The 20,188-nt window shown below is 43.9% G+C and overlaps 1 pseudogene; it reads right to left on the reverse strand.

Annotated features, from left to right (window-relative positions):
- On the reverse strand, window positions 16,283-16,416 carry LOC124905285 (uncharacterized; annotated as a pseudogene).
- Window positions 16,417-20,188: the final 3,772 nt, after the last annotated feature.

Consider the following 20,188-nt stretch of genomic DNA (forward strand, 5'->3'; position numbering starts at 1 on the left):
CCTCCTGGACTACATTCAGTAATACCTCTAATTTTTAGAGGAGTCATTAGCCCAGCCACGAGTAAGAAAACTTGAAGTATACACACATCTGTGTGCTGTAAAATATTGTTGCTTTAATAGAGTAAAATTTACAGCAAAGTGAACCTACCGAGGTGGGTGCAGTGGCTCACGCCTGTAATCCCAGCAGTTTGGGAGGCCGAGGCGGAAGGATCACCTGAGGTCAGGGGTTCGAGACCAGCCTGACCAACATGGTGAAACCCCATCTCTACTAAAAATACAAAAATTAGCTAGGCGTGGTGGCGCACGCCTGTAATCCCAGCTGCTCAGGAGGCTGAGGCAGGAGAGTCACTCGAACCCAGGTGGTGGAGGTTGCAGTGAGCTGAGATCATGCCATTGCATTCCAGCCTGGGCAAAAAGAGTGAAACTCCGTTTCAAAAAAAAAAAATAGTGAACGTACATTTAATGATATTTAATTTTTATGCTTAATAGTAATTGTGCTCAAGTGGAAAACACTTTGTAGTCAACATTTCATGTATTAATATTTATTCAAAGCATAACATGCCTATTATGTGCAAGGCAATGTGTTAGCCTTAGTGAGTACAGTAGTAAATTAAACAAGGCCCAATACTTCAAATAGCAGCAAACATTGAGTCAGTCAGAATAGGATTCAAAGCCCAGATCTGCCACTTATTTTCTATTTTTCTGTTTTTTGAGACAGAGTTTTGCTCTTGTTGCCCAGGCTAGAGTGCAATGGTGTGATCTCGGCTCACCGCAACCTCCGCCTCCCAGGTTCAAGCGATTCTCCTGCCTCAGCCTCCCGAGTAGCTGGGATTACAGGAGTGCACCATCACGCCCAGCTAATTTTTGTATTTTTAGTAGAGATGGAGTTTCACCACGTCGGTCAGGCTGGTCTCGATCTCCTGACCTCAGGTGATCCGCCTGCCTCGGCCTCCCAAAGTGCTGGGATTACAGGCATAAGCCACCACCCCCAGCAGATCTGCCACTGATAAGCTGTGTCCACTGAGCAAGTTATTTAATTACTCAGTGCTTCAGTTTCATCATCTGAAAAAAAATGTCCACAATAATTTTACCTACCTCATACGGTTGTGACAACGATTAAATGAGTTAATACACACAAAGTGCTTAGAATACAGTAAGTACACAAAGTTAGCTATTATCATTCAAAATAAGTTGATATACTGTGTGTTCATACATTCTGAAGAAAATAAAAATATTTTACCCCAAAATAAATGTATTTGCCATATGTTTGAAATGGCTGCCTCAGGACCAGAGGACTGAGATGGGGGAAATTTGCATCTGTAGAGAACCTCCTTGAATACAGCCAAGCTTCCCATTTCTATGCCTTACCTGGATCCAGGAGAGATTGAGAGTCTGACATCTTTAAAAGTTTGAAAAGAAGCATTTACCAGCTATTCTTTCGGAAGGAGGCTTCCTCTACATGACAAGGCCACCTTCACAAACCAAGTCTCTTCCTTTCTTCCATAACCTATCTTGCCACTAAAACCTGTTTTTGTATATACTCTGAGTTCGTCCACATTCTTTCTGTAATTTCTTACTTTTTTTTTTTGAGGTGGAGTCTCGCTCTGTCACCCAGGCTGGAGTGCAGTGGCGCGATCTCGGCTCACTGTTGCAAGCTCCGCCTCCCGGGTTCATGCCATTCTCCTGCCTCAGCCTCCCAAGTAGCTGGGACTACAGGCGCCCGCCACCACGCCTGGCTAATTTTTTGTATTTTTAGTAGTGACGGCGTTTCACCGTGTTAGCCAGGATGGTCTTGATCTCCCAACCTCGTGATCCACCCGCCTCGGCTTCCAAAAGTCCTGGGATTACAGCCGTGAGCCACCACGCCCGGCTTTTTTTTTTTTTGAGATGGAGTCTCGCTCTGTCACCCAGGCTGGAGTGCAGTGGCGCGATCTCGGCTCACTGCAACCTCTGCCTCCCGGGTTCGAGCGATTCTCCTGCCTCAGCCTCCCTAGTAGCTGGACTACAGGCTTGCACCACCACGCCCAGCTAATTTTTGTATTTTTAGTAGAGACGGGGTTTCAACATGTTGGCCAGGATGGTCTCGATCTCTTGACCTCGTGATCTGCCCGCCTCGGCCTCCCAAAGTGCTGGGATTACAGGCATGAGCCACGCCTGGTCTCTTTCTGTAATTTCAAGATGATATATAAGCTTCTGTTAATTATTGGGAGGTTGGGTCTCCATGATGAAGGCTCCCATGTGTACATGTTAAATAAATTTGTATGCCTTTTCTCCTATGAATCAGCCTCATATCAGTGATATTTTAGTGAACCTTCAGGGGCCAATGACTTTGGCCCCCACAACACACACACACACACACACACACACACACACACACACAAACACACACGTGTATGTTTCTTGTTTTTTAAAGAGAGATTTCACTTCCATCCTAAACCCTTGAGGAGGTAAATGTTTGACTCAAATTGCCACTATCCTAACTGCTCTCATGGCTCATAAGCAAAATTTGAACTCAAACCACTGCTTCAGCCTTCTAGGCCCATGCAGGGCTATCAAGTGAGACCAGGCCAGAGAATTTACCTTTGGCTCTATTTTCCCTTTCTCATCTTTTAATCCCCTCTTATATGGCTAGACAGCTCTACACCTTTTATCACCTCCTCTTCCCCTTTCTTCCCCTTCCCAAGCCCTTCTGCTCCTTTATCACTTCTCGTTTTGGCCTTCTGTGTTGTGCCTAGCACAGAATCAGGTGTCCCATACGAGCTCAATAAATATTAATATTTGATTAATTAAACTGAATTCCATCTTGTCTGCTGAAAGAGAGAAGGCATTTCCTCCCTCACCCCCACCTATTTTGAGCATCCAGGCAAATTCATTTAAAGCAGGCCTGTCATTCAAGGAGGAAAACCCTGAGGGGTAGAGAGAGAAAAGAGATTAAAGCAGCTATAATGTAATTATTTAGCCATTAACCCCTTTATATTTATTTAATCTGGTAAAGCATATTCTACTATAAAAGCGAAATCATTACATTTGTAAGAGGGGAAAGAAATACCCCGTATTATAGGAAAGGTTAGACCCTTCAACCAGAAAGTCAGTAAGTGGATATGTCATAGATGATAAGGAATATTGTTAACTCAAATAAGAGCTGGAACCAAGATAACCTTTTACTTAATTTTGTTATTAGCAAACCAAATCACAACAAAGTGAAATCCCTAGGAATTTGTCAAACATTCTCATTTTGGTGCAAGGAAAAGATAGCTGAGAGGCTACAGCATTCGCTCTCAGAAATAACATATTAAAATTTACCAAGCAGGAGCATCGCCATCTTGGACAAGCACCACAATTCTAAAGTTCTCCTTGATCAAAAACCACCTAAGGCCGGGTAAGGAGGCTCATGCCTGTAATCCCAGCACTTTGGGAGGCTGAGGCGGGCAGTATCACCTGAGGTCAGGAGTTCAAGACCAGCCTGGCCAACATGGTGAAACCCCGTCTCTACTAAAAATACAAAAAGTAGCTGGGCGTGGTGGTGCATGCCTGTAATCCCCGCTATTCAGGAGCTGAAACAGGAGAATTGCTTTTTTTTCTTCTTTTTTTCTTTTCTTTTCCTTTTTTTTTTTTTTTTTTTTTTTTTTTGAGATGGAGTTTCACTCTTGTTGCCCAGGCTGGAGTGCAATGGTGTGAATTCAGCTCACTGCAACCTCCGCCTCCTGGGTTCAAGCAATTCTCCTGCTTCATCCTCCCAAGTAGCTGGGATTACAGGGACCTGCCACCACACCTGGCTAATTTTTTGTATTTTTAGTAGAGACAGGGTTTTGCCATGCTGGCCAGGCTGGTCTTGAACTTCTGACCTCAGGCGATCCACTCACCTCGGCCTCCCAAAGTGCTAGGATCACAGGCATGATCCACCGCACCTGGCCAAGAATTGCTTGAACGCAGGAGGCAGAGGTTGCAGTAGGCTGAGATCGCGTCATTGCACTCCTGCCTGGGCAACAATAACGAAAGTCCCTCTCAAAACAAAAACAAAAACAAACAAACAAACAAAAAAACACCTAAATCCAAAGGGCATCAGCCTAATGGCTAAGGTCAACATGACCATAAACCGTAAATGACATCTCCAACCAGAAACATTCCAACCATAAGATAAACCCCTCCCCAACCAGAGACATGCCAGCCCCAAGTAACCTCCCCTCCAACCAGAGACATTCCAACCCTGCAATAAACTTCTCCCCACCACAGTAACATTCCAAGCCTGTAATAAGCTCCCTCACCCTAAAACCAATAAATACTCTTAGTCTGTAAGAGAGAGCACTCCTGACCAAAATCGGCCAGAAGACCCTCTCCGGTTGATTATCCAAAATAAACCTGTCTTTGTCTGTTGAGCCACTTTTCATGTTTCTTTCCTCTTTCTTTAACTCTTACAAAAATTAGTTGGCATTTAGGGCTGGTTTGGTTCCATTAAACAAGTTCTTTGGTGCACCTAGGACTGTGCTATATGCTATGAGGGATAGATTCACAGACCACACCCTCAAAGATTGTATGACCTGATAGGAAGATAATACTCAGTGTGAGAATACACAACTATTGGGGCTTTGGTAAGTCTCAGAAAACAGCCACCATCTTGGTACCAAAGGAAGGAAAAGAATGTGATAATTGAGTTGAATGCATAGGATATGAATAATCTGAGAGGAACTGGGACTGCAGCATGAAAAGAGGAAATGAGTAATAATTGTACAAGGCCCATGAGGAGGCAGACCTGGCTAGATAAGAGTTTGGTGCTTAAGCCATTGGCCATTGGCTGATCAGATAGACAGGTCAGGGAAAATAACAAAGGGTCTGGAGGGCTGGGATGAGGAGTTTGAGCTAGTTCCTGTAACAATAGGAAGCTAATGAAGAGTTTTTGGGTTTTTTTTTTTTCATAAGATGTTTCTGCAAGATAACTCTAGGAGCTGTATATAGATGGATTTTAGGATGTAGTGATGCAATCACCTGACCGGTTCTTCCTGCTCACTGCACAGACAAAATCAATTCACTGAGACCACAGCATTGCAGTAAAGAAAGAGTTTAGGCCAGGCACGGCAGCTCATGCCTGTAATCCCAGCACTTTGGGAGGCTGAGGTGGGCGGATCACCTGAGGTCAGGAGTTCAAGACCAGACTGGCTAACATGGGGAAACCCCATCTCTACTAAAAATACAAAAATTAGCTGGGTATAGTGGTGGGTGCCTGTAATCCCAGCTGCTTGGGAGGCTGAGGCAAGAGAATCACTTGAATCCAGGAGGCGGAGGTTGCAGTGAGCCAAGATCACGCCACTGCACTCCAGCCTGGGTGACAGAGAAAAACTCCATCTCAAAAAAAAAAAAAAAAAGAGTTTAATTGATGAGAGCTCGGCCACAACATGTAGGAGATGGAGTTATTACTCACATCAATCTCCCTGAAAATTTGGAGGCTAGAATTTTTCAAAGATAGTTTGGTAGGCAGTTATAGTTATATGCATACACAGCTCTACACCTTTCATCACCTCCTCTTCCCCTTTGGTTGGGGATGCAATCATAGGGGTATGGAAAATGGCCCTCTTGGACTGAGTCTGCTCCTGGGTCGGGACCACAGTAGGTGTGGGGTGGGACAATTCAGTAAGTGTGGGGTGGGACTCAGAATCCATATGTGTTACAATCATCCAAGCTGATTATGTTGCAGATGTCCCTGACCATATTTTGAGAAAATTTTGCAGTATGCAGTATAGCTTGCCTTAGCACAGAAACTTATGACCTCCCATCTGAATGTATGCAACAGTCTCCCTCAGCTTCCAGGTCACTGAAACTGCCTTTGCAAAATGATGACATTAAGAGAAATCTGACATGGTTGACTCCATCTTGCCTTCAACTTTCAAGCTGTCCTTGGCCATTCATGGGCATGGGCCACGCTAACTTTGAGAGAAAATTAGTTTATAGTTTAAATGATAACAGCCTTTCCCAAAAACTAAACCACCCTTGTAAAACTAATGAAAGGCCACCAACCAGGTTAGGAGGATGAGAGGGGCCTGCATTATACTAAGATGTAGGCATAGTTAAATGATTTCCAGCCATTATTCCAGAGGTCACAAAATATGCAACTATTCCAATTACTCCTGCAGATAACATGACTATTGTAGAACCTCAGATTGGCCTTTTGAGATGTCTCCAGGTCTTTTGGATGTCTGACACCCATGGCTCCACCTGTACCCACCAACCACTCCTGTGGTCCCACCCAGAAGTGACTCAGTGCAAGAGGAGAGCTTCCAATCCCTATGATTTCATTTTCAAACCAAGCAATCAGCACCCATTGCCTAGCCACCCCCACACCTTCCCCCAAACTACCTTTGAAAAACCCCTAACCTTTGATACTTTGATACTTTGAGGAGATGGTTTGGCTGGCCTTGTGTCAATTAAACTCTTTCTCTACTGCAATGTCGTGGTCTGTTTTGTTTGTGCAGTGGGCAGGAAGAACCCATAGGGCAGTTATAGGGTTCAGGAATATCTAGGGTTGTAACAAGCATACCAGGTGATGCCCATTAAAATCTGAGCTCCGACTACCACACACCAACTGAAATCTCAGATGAATTAGTTGGAGATCAAAAAAATCAAACCATAGGCCAGGTGCAGTGGCTCACGCCTGTAATCCCAGCACCTTGGGAGGCCGAGGCAGGCAGATCACCTGAGGTCAGGAGTTCAAGACCAGCCTGGCCAACATGGTGAAACCCTGTCTCTAATAAAAAAAGAAAAAAAAAATTAGACGGGCATGGTTGCAGGTGCCTGTAATCCCAGCTATTCAGGAGGTTGAGGCACGAGAATCGCTTAAACGTAGGAGGCAGAGGTTGCAGTGAGCCGAGATGGCACCACTGCACTCCAGCCTGGGCAACAATCAAATCAAACCATAAAAGCCCTAGAATAAGATGTAGATGATTATGCATCTAAAATTTGGATGGGAGAAGACATCATAAACTTAAAAGCAGCAGAAAAAAAACACTAAGTAGGTAGATTTTACTACTTAACCTTAAGAACTTGACATGACAAAAATATAATTAACAAAATGAAATCATAAAAAACAAGCAGAAAAATATATACAAGTATAGCAAAGAGTCATTATCTTTCTTGATAAAAAGCTTACATAAACTTACAAGAAGAACACGATGTCCTCAATAAAGACTTTGACAAAGGCATGGAGAGAGAATTTCCAGGAAAAGAAATCTGATTGCTCAGTAAGGTGTTTTGTTCTAACTCACTAGTAATCACAGAACATGCAAAGTATACAAACTAGATAATACTCTTTTACCTGTGAAGTTAATTAAGATTTAAAAAGAACTGTGCCAGGCACCGTGGCTCACGCCTATAATCCCAGCACTTTGGGAGGCCGAGGCAAGAGGATCACTTGAGCCCAGGAGTTTGAGACCAGCTCGGGCAATATCAAGAGACCACGACTCTACAAAAAATTAAAAAATTAGCCAGGCGTGGTGGCGCATGCATGTGGTCCCAGCTAGCAGGAGGCTGAGGTGGGAGGATTGCTTGGGCCCAGGAGGTCAAGGCTACAGTGAGCCGTGACAGTGCTGTGCTAGTGCACTCCCTGGGTGACAGACAGCGAGACTCTGTCACACACACACAAAAAAAAAGGAACACATATTTCTCAAAGTAGACCATGAGCAGTGAGGCAGAAACCTTCATACACTGCCTGTGGGATTGTAAATTGATGCTTCCTAGAAAGCAAATAGAATCACAAGTCTTAAAAAATTTCATAGCATTTGCCCCAGAAATTCTCCCTCTAGGAATCTATTCTATGAAAATAGAGATATGGGCCAGGTGCAGTGGCTCACTCCTGTAATCTCAACACTTTGGGAGGCTGAGGTGGGCAGATCACTCAAGGTCAGTAGTTCCACACGAGCCTGGCCAATATGGCGAAACCTCTTCTCTACTAAAAATTAAAAAAAAAAAATTAGCCGGGGGCGACAGCACACACCTGTAATCCTAGCTACTCGGGAAGCTGAGGTGGGAGAATTGCTTGAACCCCGGAGGTGGAGGTTGCGATGAGCTGAGATCACACCACTGCACTCCAGCCTGGGTGACAGAGTGACTCCGTCTCAATAAAAAATAATAATAATAAAAGGCCCAGGCACAGTGCCTCACGCCTGTAATCCTAGCACTTTGGGAGGCCAAGGCGGGTGGATCACCTGAGGTTGGGAGTTCAAGACCAGGCTGACCAACATGGTGAAACCCCGTCTCTACTAAAAATACAAAATTAGCCGGGCGTGGTGGCGCATGCCTGTAATCCCAGCTACTCGGGAGGCTGAGAGAGGAGAATCTCTTGAATCCAGGAGGCAGAGGTTTCGGTGAGCTGAGATAGCGCTGTTGCACTCCAGCCTGGGCAACAAGAGTGAAACTCCATCTCAAAATAATAATAATAATAATAATAATAATAATAATAATAATAAGATATTGGCTTACAAGTCAAATAAATGCCAGTGATAAATATAGTTTCTAGTGACAGGAATTGTCTTATCTATTATTTAGGGTCATACCTACCAGCTATTAACATACCCTTGAAACCAAACTAGTAATCAGATGGTCATTTGTAACTTGAACAAATGGAGCTGAATGGGTTTTTTTGTTTGTTTGTTTGTTTGTTTTTTAGGTTTCGCTCTTGTTGCCTAGGCTGTAGTGCAATGGTGCAATCTAGTCTCACTGCAACCTCCACCTCCCGGGTTCAAGCGAGTCTCCTGCCTCAGCCTCCCAAGTAGCTGGGATTACAGGCATGTGCCACCACGCCTGGCTAATTTTTGTATTTTTAGTAGAGATGGGGTTTCGCCATGTTGGCCAGGCTGGTCTCAAACTCCTGACCTCATGTGATCCGCCCATCTCAGCCTCCCAAAGTGCTGGGATTACAGGCGTGAGCCACGGTGCCTGGCCGGCTGAATGGTTTTAAGGGAGGTCTTTGACTGGGTTATTTGTATACCAGACTGGGTTATTTGTGTCCTGTCATTTGAATAGTAGTGCATAAACACTGACTCTCCAATGTTCTTTTTTTTCACCATCTGTAACTAGTTATCAGAATCTTCTGTCATTACAATATTACCTGCCTCCTGTTCTCATTACATGTCACGGTTTCCAAGGTAACAGCTGTCTTACATGAATTACATTCTAGGTTGGTAGCTCCCAGGTGAGATATTGGGAAGCATCTTAATCTTATTTGCATATATCTACAAATTATATTTACCAGAAGTCGCTTCTGGGAAGAGTCACAGCTGGCTAGTTTCATCCATTGTGAGCCTTTTTTTTTTCTTAATTTTTTCAATTGAAGAGTTTATCATTTCCCAAATTATGTGTCTGATTTTCCTCTAAACTGTGTCTCTTAAGTTTGGAGACACATATTACTTTGGGGGCCCTTCAGTTCACTGATAAACATCTAGGGTTTCTGATGATAGTACTTAGGAGAATGGCACTGAAACTAACAAAAATAGGGAAATCAGAGAGGGAGTCTTTTGGGAGAGGGAGGAAATAGTGGAATTGAGTGAAGGTCCAGTAGGCATGTAGAGAAAAAGTTAACATAACAGGAAAGCTCTTATGTTGTCTGTGGCAGGAATTACCTTGGAAACTGTCACCAAACTACCTAGCTACCTTTATACTTCTGGTTTCTAGGGTAACACAGATATTTACTACCTTACATTTACATGGCTGGTGCTGATGTTCATTTTCTCACTTTTTACAGTCCCAACCCTTTGCTTTTTATAGTGTTGAAATTTGCAATTGAATGTTAATAGCATTCCAGTACTGGTGGCTCATTCCTCAAAGCTAGATGTAGACAAATAGCATAGGAACTTCTATCCTGGGTCCTGCTCCACACTGGAATGTCATCAGTACATGAACCTGGGCTTCATGCCTGAGACTCAACACCAAGGGCACAAATTCTACAACTCCCCAGAGGCTATAATTTCCATCCTCTCCAAATCATCATCAGTAAACTCTTAATAAAGACACTACTTTCTACTTTTCTTCCTTTTTTTCTCCTTCCTTAGACTAGTCAAGCGAAGCAGTGGGAGTGGAGAAGTCTACTTACTTTCTTTTTTCTGAAACAGGATCTCCTTCTGTCACCCAGGCTGGAGTGCAGTGGTGTGCTCACAGTTAATTGCCGCCTTGACCTCATGGGCTCAAGTGGTCCTCTCACCTCAGCCTCCCAAGCAGCTGGGACCACAGGTACGCACCACCACACCCAGTTAATTTTTTTTTTTTTTTGAGATGGACTCTCGCTCTGTTACCTAGGCTGGAATGCAGTGGCACGATCTTGGCTCACTGCAACCTCTGCCTCCAAGGATCAAGCAATTCTCCCTGGCTCAGCCTCCCAAATAGCTGGGTTTATAGGCGTGCACTACCATGCCTGGCTAATTTTTGTATTTTCAGTAGAGACAGGGTTTCACCATGTTGGCCAGGCTGGTCTTGAACTCCTGACCTCAGGTGATCTGCCCATCTCGGCCCCACAAAGTGCTGGGATTACAGGCATGAGCCACTGTGCCCGGCCCCAGCTAATTTTTAAAAATTTTTTGGTAGAGACACCAAATTCGCCATGTTGCCCAGACTGGTCTCGAACTCCAGGGCTCAAGTGATCCTCCCAGCTCAGCCTCCCAAAGTGTTGGGATTACAGGCGTGAACCACTGCACCTGGCCTTTTTAAATTTTTTTTTTAACATTTATTTTAGGTTCAGGGGTACATGTGCAGGTTTGTTATATAGATAAATTGCATGTCTCAGGGGTTTGGTGTACAGATTATTTCATCACCCAGGTAGTAAGCATAGTACCTGATAGGTAGTCTTTCTTTTTTCTTTCTTTCTTTTTGCTTTTTTTTTTTTAAACAGGATCTCCCTCTGTCGCCCAAGCTGGAGTGCAGTGGCACAATCTCGGCTCACTACAATCTCCACCTCCCAGGTTCAAGAGATTCTCCTGCCTCAGCCTCCTGAGTAGCTGGGACTACAGGCACATGCTACCACGCCTGGCTATTTTTTCTATTTTTGGTGGAGATGGGGTTTCACCATGTTGGCCAGGCTGGTCTTGAACTCCTGACCTCAAGGGATCTGCCTGCCTCAGCCTCCCAGAGTGCTGGGATTACAGGCATGAGCCACCGCGCCCAGCCCCAATAGGAAGTTTTTCAATCCTCCTCCCACCCTCCACCCTCCACCACCAGACCCTGGTGTTTATTGTTCCCCTCTTTGTGTCCATGTGTACTCAATGTTTAGCTCCCACTTGTAAGTAAGAACACGTGGTATTTGGTTTCCTGCGTTAATTCACTTAGGACATGATCTCGTTCTTTTTTATGGCTGTACAGAATTTCATGGGGTATATGTACCACATTGTCTTGATCCAGTCTATCGTTGACGGGCATTTAGGTTGACTCTATATCTTGGCTATTATCCTCACTTTTATGTTCCATGATTCTGTAAAGAAACTGGTAGATGAGGCCAGGCTGAATGGCTCACGCTTGTAATCCCAACACTTTGGGAGGCCGAGGTGGGCAGATCACCTGAGATCAGGAGTTCGAGACCAGCTTGACCAACGTGGAGAAACCCCGTCTCTACTAAAAATACAAAATTACCCGGGTGTGGTAGCGCATGCCTGTAATCCCAGCTATTCAGGAGGCTGAGGCAGGAGAATTGCTTGAACCCGGGAGATGGAGGTTGCGGTGAGCCAAGATCACGCCCAGGCTGGGCAACAAGAGCGAAACTCCATCTCAAAAAAGAAAGAAAGGAAGAAACTGGTAGATGAAATACTTTCTGCCCCATCCCCATTGCATTATCAATATGTGTTATTTGGTTTCTGAACTTTTTTTTTTTTGAGACAGAGTCTCATTGTGTTGCCCAGGCTGGAGTGCAGTGGTGTGATCTCAGCTCACTGCAACCTCCGACTCCTGAGTTCAAGCGATTCTCCTGCCTCAGCCTCCCAAGTAGCTGAGATTACAGGCATGTGCTACCATGCCCGGCTAATTTTTGTATTTTTAGAAGAGCCAGGGTTTTGCCATATTGGCCCAGCTGGTCTCAAACCCCTGACCTCAAGTGACCCACCCCGCTCGACCTCCTAAAGTGCTAGATTACAGGCGTGAGCCACCACATCTGCCCAGTTTCTGAACTTATAATTTTTATTTTGCCAAAGAAAAACAATTAGTTGGAAATGAAAATGATTATCGAGAACTACACATGTAATAATAACAAATATTCAACATGTATTGAATCCTTACTCTGTGCCTCACACTGTGCTAAGTGCACAACGTGCATTATCTCATGTGGGTCCTTATTTTACACGTGAGAAAAGTGGTACCTGTATTTTACAGAGGAGGTAGCTGAGACTTAGAGAGGGGTAACTAACTTATTCAAGGCCACACAGTAAGTGGTGGAACCAAAACTTGAATTCAGCTATCTGATGCCCATATCTCCACTTCTTTTTTTTTTTTTTTTTCGAGACAGAGTCTTGCTCTGTTGCCCAGGATGGAGTGCAGTGGCACAATCTCGGCTCACTGCAACCTCCGCCTCCCGGGTTCAAGTCGTTCTCCTGCCTCAGCCTCCCGAGTAGCTGGGATTACAGGCACACACCACCACGCCTGGCTAATTTTTGTATTCTTAGTAGAGATGGGGTTTCATCATGTTGGCCAGGCTGGTCTCGAACACTTGACCTTGTGATCCGCCCTCCTCGGCTTCCCAAAGTGCTGGGATTACAGGCGTGAGCCACCGTGCCTGGCCCCATGTCTCCACTTTTTATCTTTCAACTTTTAACCAGTGATTCTCAAGCATTAGTGTGCATCAGAATTCTCTGGAGGGCTTGTTAAAACACAGATTGCTGGGTCCCATCTCCAGAGTTTCCTGATTCAGTAGACCTGAGAATATGCATTTCTAAAAAATTCCCAAGTGATGCTGATGTTGCTGGACTGGAGAGTACACTCAGAGGAACTCTGCTTTGTACTCCAGTGCCTCCCTTAACGGGCAGAAGAGCCTATCACTGTAATGAAGCTGAGAAGGAACTTGTGTGCAATAGGGAGCTTGTGCTTTTCTTAGGGCTCAATGTTCAGAGATCCTTGGGGATGCTCAGGTCTGTCCCTATCTCTCCAGGAAGACCAGACAATAGGCAAGAGATTCTACTCTGGAGGAGTACACAGTACAGAGGCTGTGCTCACAGAACACAGTATTTCTGCAAAGAGCTGGGCATATCCCGAGTTCGGCTCAGTTTCTTAGTCTTGACTGCTACCAAAAGCTGATGCAAGTACAATGTTATCTTAGTTCTCTTTTGGAAGAAACTCAAAGAGTTAAAATCGAAGAGCAGTATTTGCCAAGTATAGCTACCTGTCAGCTGAGGTTTTTGATATATCTGACACATTCAGCCTGATCCTGTGGAGGGTCTCGATTAGCACTATCTTGTGAAGCTGAGGAAAGAGCCATTACTGTGCAAGCTCAAGTCAGAGCTGCTATTCACACCTACCTTATAAAGAACATATATTGCCTACAGTAGACAGAGAGAGAGGCACACATTGAATATAATACACTACCATAACCTTGTTTCTCTTTTTATTTCAATTTTTCCACCTTATGCCTTGTATTTCCCTGAGGTACAGCTGAGGTCACTGAGTTTTTAGGCAATGAAGCAAAGATCAGTGTTCATTAGGGTGACTGCACATCAGGTCATTGGGAAGCTTTTTTTTTTTTTTTTTTTTTTTTTGAGACGGAGGAGTTTCATTCTTGTTGCCCAGGGTGGAGTGCAGTGGCACAATCTCAGCTCACTGCAACCTCTGCCTTCCGGGTTCAAGTGATTCTCCTGCCTCAGGCCTCCCGAGTAGCTGGGAGTACAGGCACCTGCCACCACGCCTGGCTAGTTTTTGTATTTTTAGTAGACATGGGGTTTCATCATGTTGGCCAGGTTGGTCTCGAACTCCTGACCTCAGGTGATCTGCCCGCCTCAGCCTCCCAAAGTACAGGGATTACAGGTGTGAGCCACCGCACCCGGCAGGGAAGCTTTTTCAAAATACCTGTCCCAGGGACCCTACTTTAGACCAATTAAACACAAATCTTTGTGGGCAGGCCTCAGATATATGCATTAAAAAACAAATTTCCAGGTGATACTAATGCCAGAGAAGGTTAAGAGCCTATTCAAGAAAATAGGCTCTGTTCCATAAAAAAGGATGAGTTCATGTCCTTTGCAGGGACATGGATGCAGCTGGAAACCATCATTCTCAGCAAACGATCACAAGGACAGAAAACCAAACACCACATGTTCTGACTCATAGGTGGGAATTGAACAATGAGATCACATGGACACAGGGTGGGGAACATCACACCCTGGGGTCTGTCATGGGGTGGAGGGCAGGGGGAGGGATAGCATTAGGAGAAATACCTAATGTAAATGACGAGTTAATGGGTGCAGCAAACCAACATGGCACATGTATACCTATGTAACAAACCTGCACATTGTGCACATGTACCCTAGAACTTAAAGTATAATAAAAAAAATTAGGCTCTGCTGTTGTGCAGATTTCATTTCTAGCTCTGCTACTTATGAGAAGATGACCTTGGGCAAATGGCCGAACTGCTCTGAGCCCCAATTTTCCCATCTATAAAAATTGGCATACTAATAGAACCCACTGGGCTTTGTTTCATGGGCTGTCATGAAGGATTGAATGTACTGGTGTATGTAATGGACTGTAATTGTACAATGCCTAGCACAGAGTGATTACTCCCTAGATGATAGCTAGTGATAAAATTAAGGCATCCCGGCCAGGTGTGGTGGCTCATGCCTGTAATCCCAACACTTTAGGAGGCCAAGGCAGGTTGATCACCTGAGATCAGGAGTTCAAAACCAGCCTGGCCAACATGGTGAAACCCTATCTCTACTAAAAATACAAAAACTAACCAGGCATGATGGCGTTTGCCTGTAATCCCAGCTACTTGGGAAGCTGAAGCAGGAGAATCGCTTGAACCCAGGAGGCAGAGGTTGCAGTGAGCCGAGATCATGCCACTGCACTCCAGCCTGGGCAACAGAGAGAGACTCCACCTCAAAAAGGAAAAAAAAAAAATTAAGGCATCTCCCTTTCATCCTGCAGAGCAAGTCATGAAGTTGTGACCCTATGGGAGGTGTGGTTATGTTATTCTGCTATGGATTTCATGGTCTTTCAATGGGGACCACCTGTGAGAAGGTAAAAGGCTATGCAGACCACCTACCTGGTACATGTCATAGGAAACCTATTTCATAACAAATGGGGAAAGCCGGTCACGGTGGCTCATGCCTGTAATCCCAGCACTTTGGGAGGCAGAGACGGGCGGATCACCTGAGGTCAGGAGTTTGAGACCAGCCTGACCAACATGGAGAAACCCCATCTCTACTGAAAATACAAAATGAGCCGGGCATGGTGGTGCATGCCTGTAATCCCAGCTACTCGGGAAGGCTGAGGAAGGAGAATCGCTTGAACCTCGGAGGCGGAGGTTGTGGTGAGCCGAGATTGCGCCATTGCACTCAAGCCTGGGCAACAAGAGCGAAACTCCGTCTCAAAAAAAAAAAAAAAAAAAAGGGAAAATGATGCTTCTTTGGATAAGACACCAAGTAAAAGCAAAGCAGAAACAAAGTAACACTAATATTCTTAGAGACCAGCCCATTAATTACCTTGAGGAAATAATAGACCGCTTGGGGTTCTCAGACCCATTCTGAGAACCACTGAAGAGTACATGATGGTCTGCACTATAACTGGTGGCCTAATTAGTGGTCAACCCAGAATTTCCAGAGTATTCAGGAGTCACAAGCCAAAAAACTCAATATCTATTGCCCAATGTCTCACCAGGTTTATGCATTTATTCCTCACCCCTAGTAGGCATGTGAATTGGTGAACCCTGGTGCACTCACCACCCAGAGACCTTTATAGTTTAAGCAAAAAACTACAAGAATCTACGCATTAGGATGTAAGGAATGAGAGAGAAAACAGCAGAATTTCTTAGGCCTTAACAGACAATAAAGAAGGCCGCCCCTTTGTGGGAATCAAGTATTGGATCTCAGCTCAGTTCCAAGATAAAGTAAAAAAATCCAGTATTCTGGCGGGGCACAGTGGCTCATGCCTGTAATCCCAGCACTTTGGGAGGCCGAGGTGGGTGGATCACCTGAGGTCAGGAGTTCAAGACCAGCCTAGCCAACATTGTGAAACCCCATCTCTACTAAAAATACAAAAATTAGCCAGGCATGGTGGTGGGTGCCTGTAATCCCAGCTACTTGGGAGGCTGAGGCAAGAGAATTGGTTGAACCCCGGAGGTGGAGGTTGCAGTGGGACGAGCTCGTGCCACTGCATTCCAGCCTGGGCAACAGAGCAAGACTCCATCTGGAAAAAAATAAAAATAAAAAATCCAGTATTCTACACTTGATCTTAACCAAAAGGCCAAGAAGCGATAAAAAAAAAAAAAAATCCAGTATTCTATTTTGCCTCTAGAGCCAAGTAAAGATAAAGCATATCCATCTCAAACCAATAGCCAGCATTATGATAAATGAGAAAAAGGAAGTTAGTAAAAATGTGGTAGTTAATAAAATGGGCTTTTGGTTTCGGACGAACCTGGGTTTAAAATTTCAGTTTATGTGTGGGTGAGGTGGCTCACACCTGTAATCCCAGCACTTTGGGAGGCCCAGGTGGGAGGATCCTCTGAGCCCAGGAGTTCAAGACCAGCCTGGGCAACATGGTGAGACCCTGTCTCTATTTTTATTAAAAAAATATAAAAATCCCAGCTCAGGAATATATAGGCATGTGACTTTGAGCAAATTACATAATAAATCAAAACCTAATAATAATGGTTCCTACTTTGGGGGGTTGCTGTATTGAATGAATGAGATTATGTAGGCAAAACACTTAGAATGGCACTTGATACATGATAAACCCTCCATAATTTTTTTTTTTTTTTTTTGAGACAGAGCCTCACTCTGTCGCCCAGGCTGGAGTATGGTGGCATGATCTCGGCTCACTGCAACCTCTGCCTCCCGGGTTCGAGCGATTCTTCTGCCTCAGCCTCCCAAGTAGTTGGGATTACAGACGCCCACCACCACGCCCAGTTAATTTGTGTTTGTGTGTGTGTATTTTTAGTAGAGATGGAGTTTTACCATGTTGGACAGGGTGGTCTCAAACTCCTGACCTCAGGTGATCCGCCTGCCTCGGCCTCCCAAACTGCTGGGATTACAGGCGTGAACCACTGTGCCTGGCCAAACCCTCTGTAAATTATAGCTTTCTTCTAACTAAAAGCATTCTCACTGGAGTCAAGGACAAAGCTAGGCTGCTGCCATTTACAAGTGCTTAATAGTGTTCTGAATAACCAGTATCATCCTTAGAGGGGCTTCTGCCCTGGGGCTCATGCTTTAAAGGATATCTCATATTGTAAATACTCAAATTTATTTAAAAAGACACAGGCACTTGTGTCACTTGGGATCTAGTACTTAGTGTTGGTACAGCACACCACATAATCCTAAACCTCCACTCTCATGATTAACATCATTCAAACTTAAGGGGAATACTTCCTATCTCTCAATCTATATACTTGGAACAAAAGGCAAATCCATCTACAAGCCATGAAGTTTTGTGAGTTATGCTGCTGCTCACTATATCAGACACTGCTTAGAAGTACAAGGAAAATCTGAGTAGCAGATGTGCTTAGTGAGAGAAAAGACAAATTAACTTGTCAAATCCTTTCTGTCTCAAGAGCGATAGATTCTTCCATAACAATGATTGTTTCCCAGTAGTAACAAGCATAGGTTTTCTTGCTTCTCTTTGTGTTCCAATTCATGGTTCCTTGATGTGTTGTAAGTAGGCCTCCAATCGTACTCTTGGCCCAGGCTAAGTAAATGTTAAAAGCTGACTTGTAGCTAATACTGTAAGATTTGAAAAAGAAATTAGGAATAACTATTGAAAGAGATACATAAATTACCATTATTTCCAGTTAATTTGTTTGTCTATCAAGAGAACACCCAAGGGCATCAATTGAAACACTCAGATATTTAAGAAGAGAGTTCAGAAAAGCGGCCAAATAACAATCAATAGTTTTCCTGTAAGCCAGCAACAACCAGCTAGAAGATATAATGGAATAAAAATGCATTAATGATGACAAAAATAGCATAAAACTCCTAAGAATAACTCTTTTGAACTCGGGCTCAAGATATCCTCCCTCCTCCGCCTCCCAAGTAGCTGGGACTACGAGCTCATGCCCACACACACAGCTAACTTTTTTTTTAATTTCATTGTAGAGATGGGGTCTCACTATGTTGCCAGGCTGATCTGGAACTCCTGGGCTCAAGTGGTCCTCCTGCCTTGGCCTCCTAAAGTGTTGGAATTACAGTCGTGAGCCACCACACCCAGCCAGGAATAACTCTTTAAAAAATGCATAGAGACTGGGTGCGGTGGCTCCTACAAGTGCCGAATCTTCTGTCTGTCTGTATTTATATATATATATTGCGTGTGTGTGTGTGTGTGTGTGTGTGTGTGTGTGTGTGTGTGTGTGTGTGATGTTTATATATAAAAGAGCTCTGATTGCCAGGCATGGTGGCTCATGCCTGTAATCCCTGCACTTTGGGAGGCCGAGGTTGGGGGGAATCACCTGAGGTCAGGAGTTTGAGACCAGCCTGGCCAACGTGGTGAAACCATCTCTACTAAAAATACAAAAATTAGCCGGGCATGGTGGCGCATGCTTGTAATCCCAGCTACTCAGGACGCTGAGGCAGGAGAATCGCTTGAACCAGGGAGGTGGAGGTTGCCGTGAGCCAAGATCGTGCCACTGCACTCTAGCCTGGGCGACAAGAGTGAAACTCTGTCTCAAAAAACAAACAAACCAACAAAAAACAACAACAAAAACAAACAAACAAACAAACAAAAACCCCTTTGATTAATTGGCTTAGAAAAATAAGCACTTAAATATTTTGTCAGAAAAATAGAAACTAATGCTTTTTTGTTCTCAAGACTTTAGTAATCTTTTGGAAATAAAAACAGTTTTAAAGATTATTGGTAAAATAAAATGTCTTGAAAATGCAGACATTTGTTCTAAATTAAGGTCAGATATCAGATTTGCTAAATGCTTTAAGGTCAAACTTTCTTTGACTTTTGAAAATTGTTCGATTTACCTACTTTGGAGCATTGGATTATAGATAAGGCCTGGGGACATACGGAGAGCTATGCCAGCTAGCTATGCTAAAAAGAGTCAGACCTTATCTTCATTTCCGTCTGTCCTAGGCTCCACCCCAGTACCTAATTAAAATTACTTACTTATCAGGTTTTTCACTAAAAATAAAAGTTGCTAAGAGTTAACTTTGTAACATGTAATTAAGAACACTGGAGAAACAGTTTTACATACATGTAAAAGCATTGGGAATATGGCTTTTGTTAAAGGGAATGTAATTTTGTCTAGTTCAGAGGATTTTAAAGATTGTCTTTTTTTTTTTTTTTTTTTTTTTGAGACAGAGTCTCCCTCTGTGTCGCCAGGTTGGAGTGCAGTGGCGTGATCTCGGCTCACTGCAACTTCTGCCTCCCGGGTTCAAGCGATTCTCCTGCTGCAGCCTCCTGAGTAGCTGGGACGACAGGCATGTGCCGCCATGCCCAGCTAATTTTTATATTTTTAGTGGAGACGGGGTTTCACCATGTTGGCCAGGATGGTCTAGATCTCTTGACCTTGTGATCCACCCACCTCGGCCTCCCAAAGTGCTGGGATTACAGGCGTGAGCCACCACTCCTGGCCTTAAGGATTGTTTTAACCTAAAAGAGTAACAGAGCAAAACCGAAGGTTTAAGCAAAATGAAAAGGGTTTGTAAAGGGTCAGTCTTATAAAAAAAATTCTGTGGATATAAACAAGTTGGCTAGGATTTAAAAGAAATTATTTAGCTTTTTTCCGTAGGTTAAAACGTTGAAATGATACTGTTCTGGGGCCAGAATCCAGGCCCATCAATTTTCTAAGAAAACAGGGTTTTCTTAGAAGAGGATTTTCTTAAAAAATGGATCTGTTTGATGGAAAATTGTAGAGCGTTCTAAAAAGTTCATGAAAACCTTACCTTATGGTCAACTAATTAAAACTGGATAGAGATATAAAATGTTATTTAAAAAACTAGCCTTAACATTAAAGATGCACTAATGCAAACATGAAATTTGGTTTTCTCCTTTGAAGATGATTTTTATGTAATGTTAAAAGATAATGAAAGGG

Source organism: Homo sapiens, chromosome X, assembly GCF_000001405.40.
Source record: "Homo sapiens chromosome X, GRCh38.p14 Primary Assembly".
NCBI lineage: Eukaryota > Metazoa > Chordata > Mammalia > Primates > Hominidae > Homo > Homo sapiens.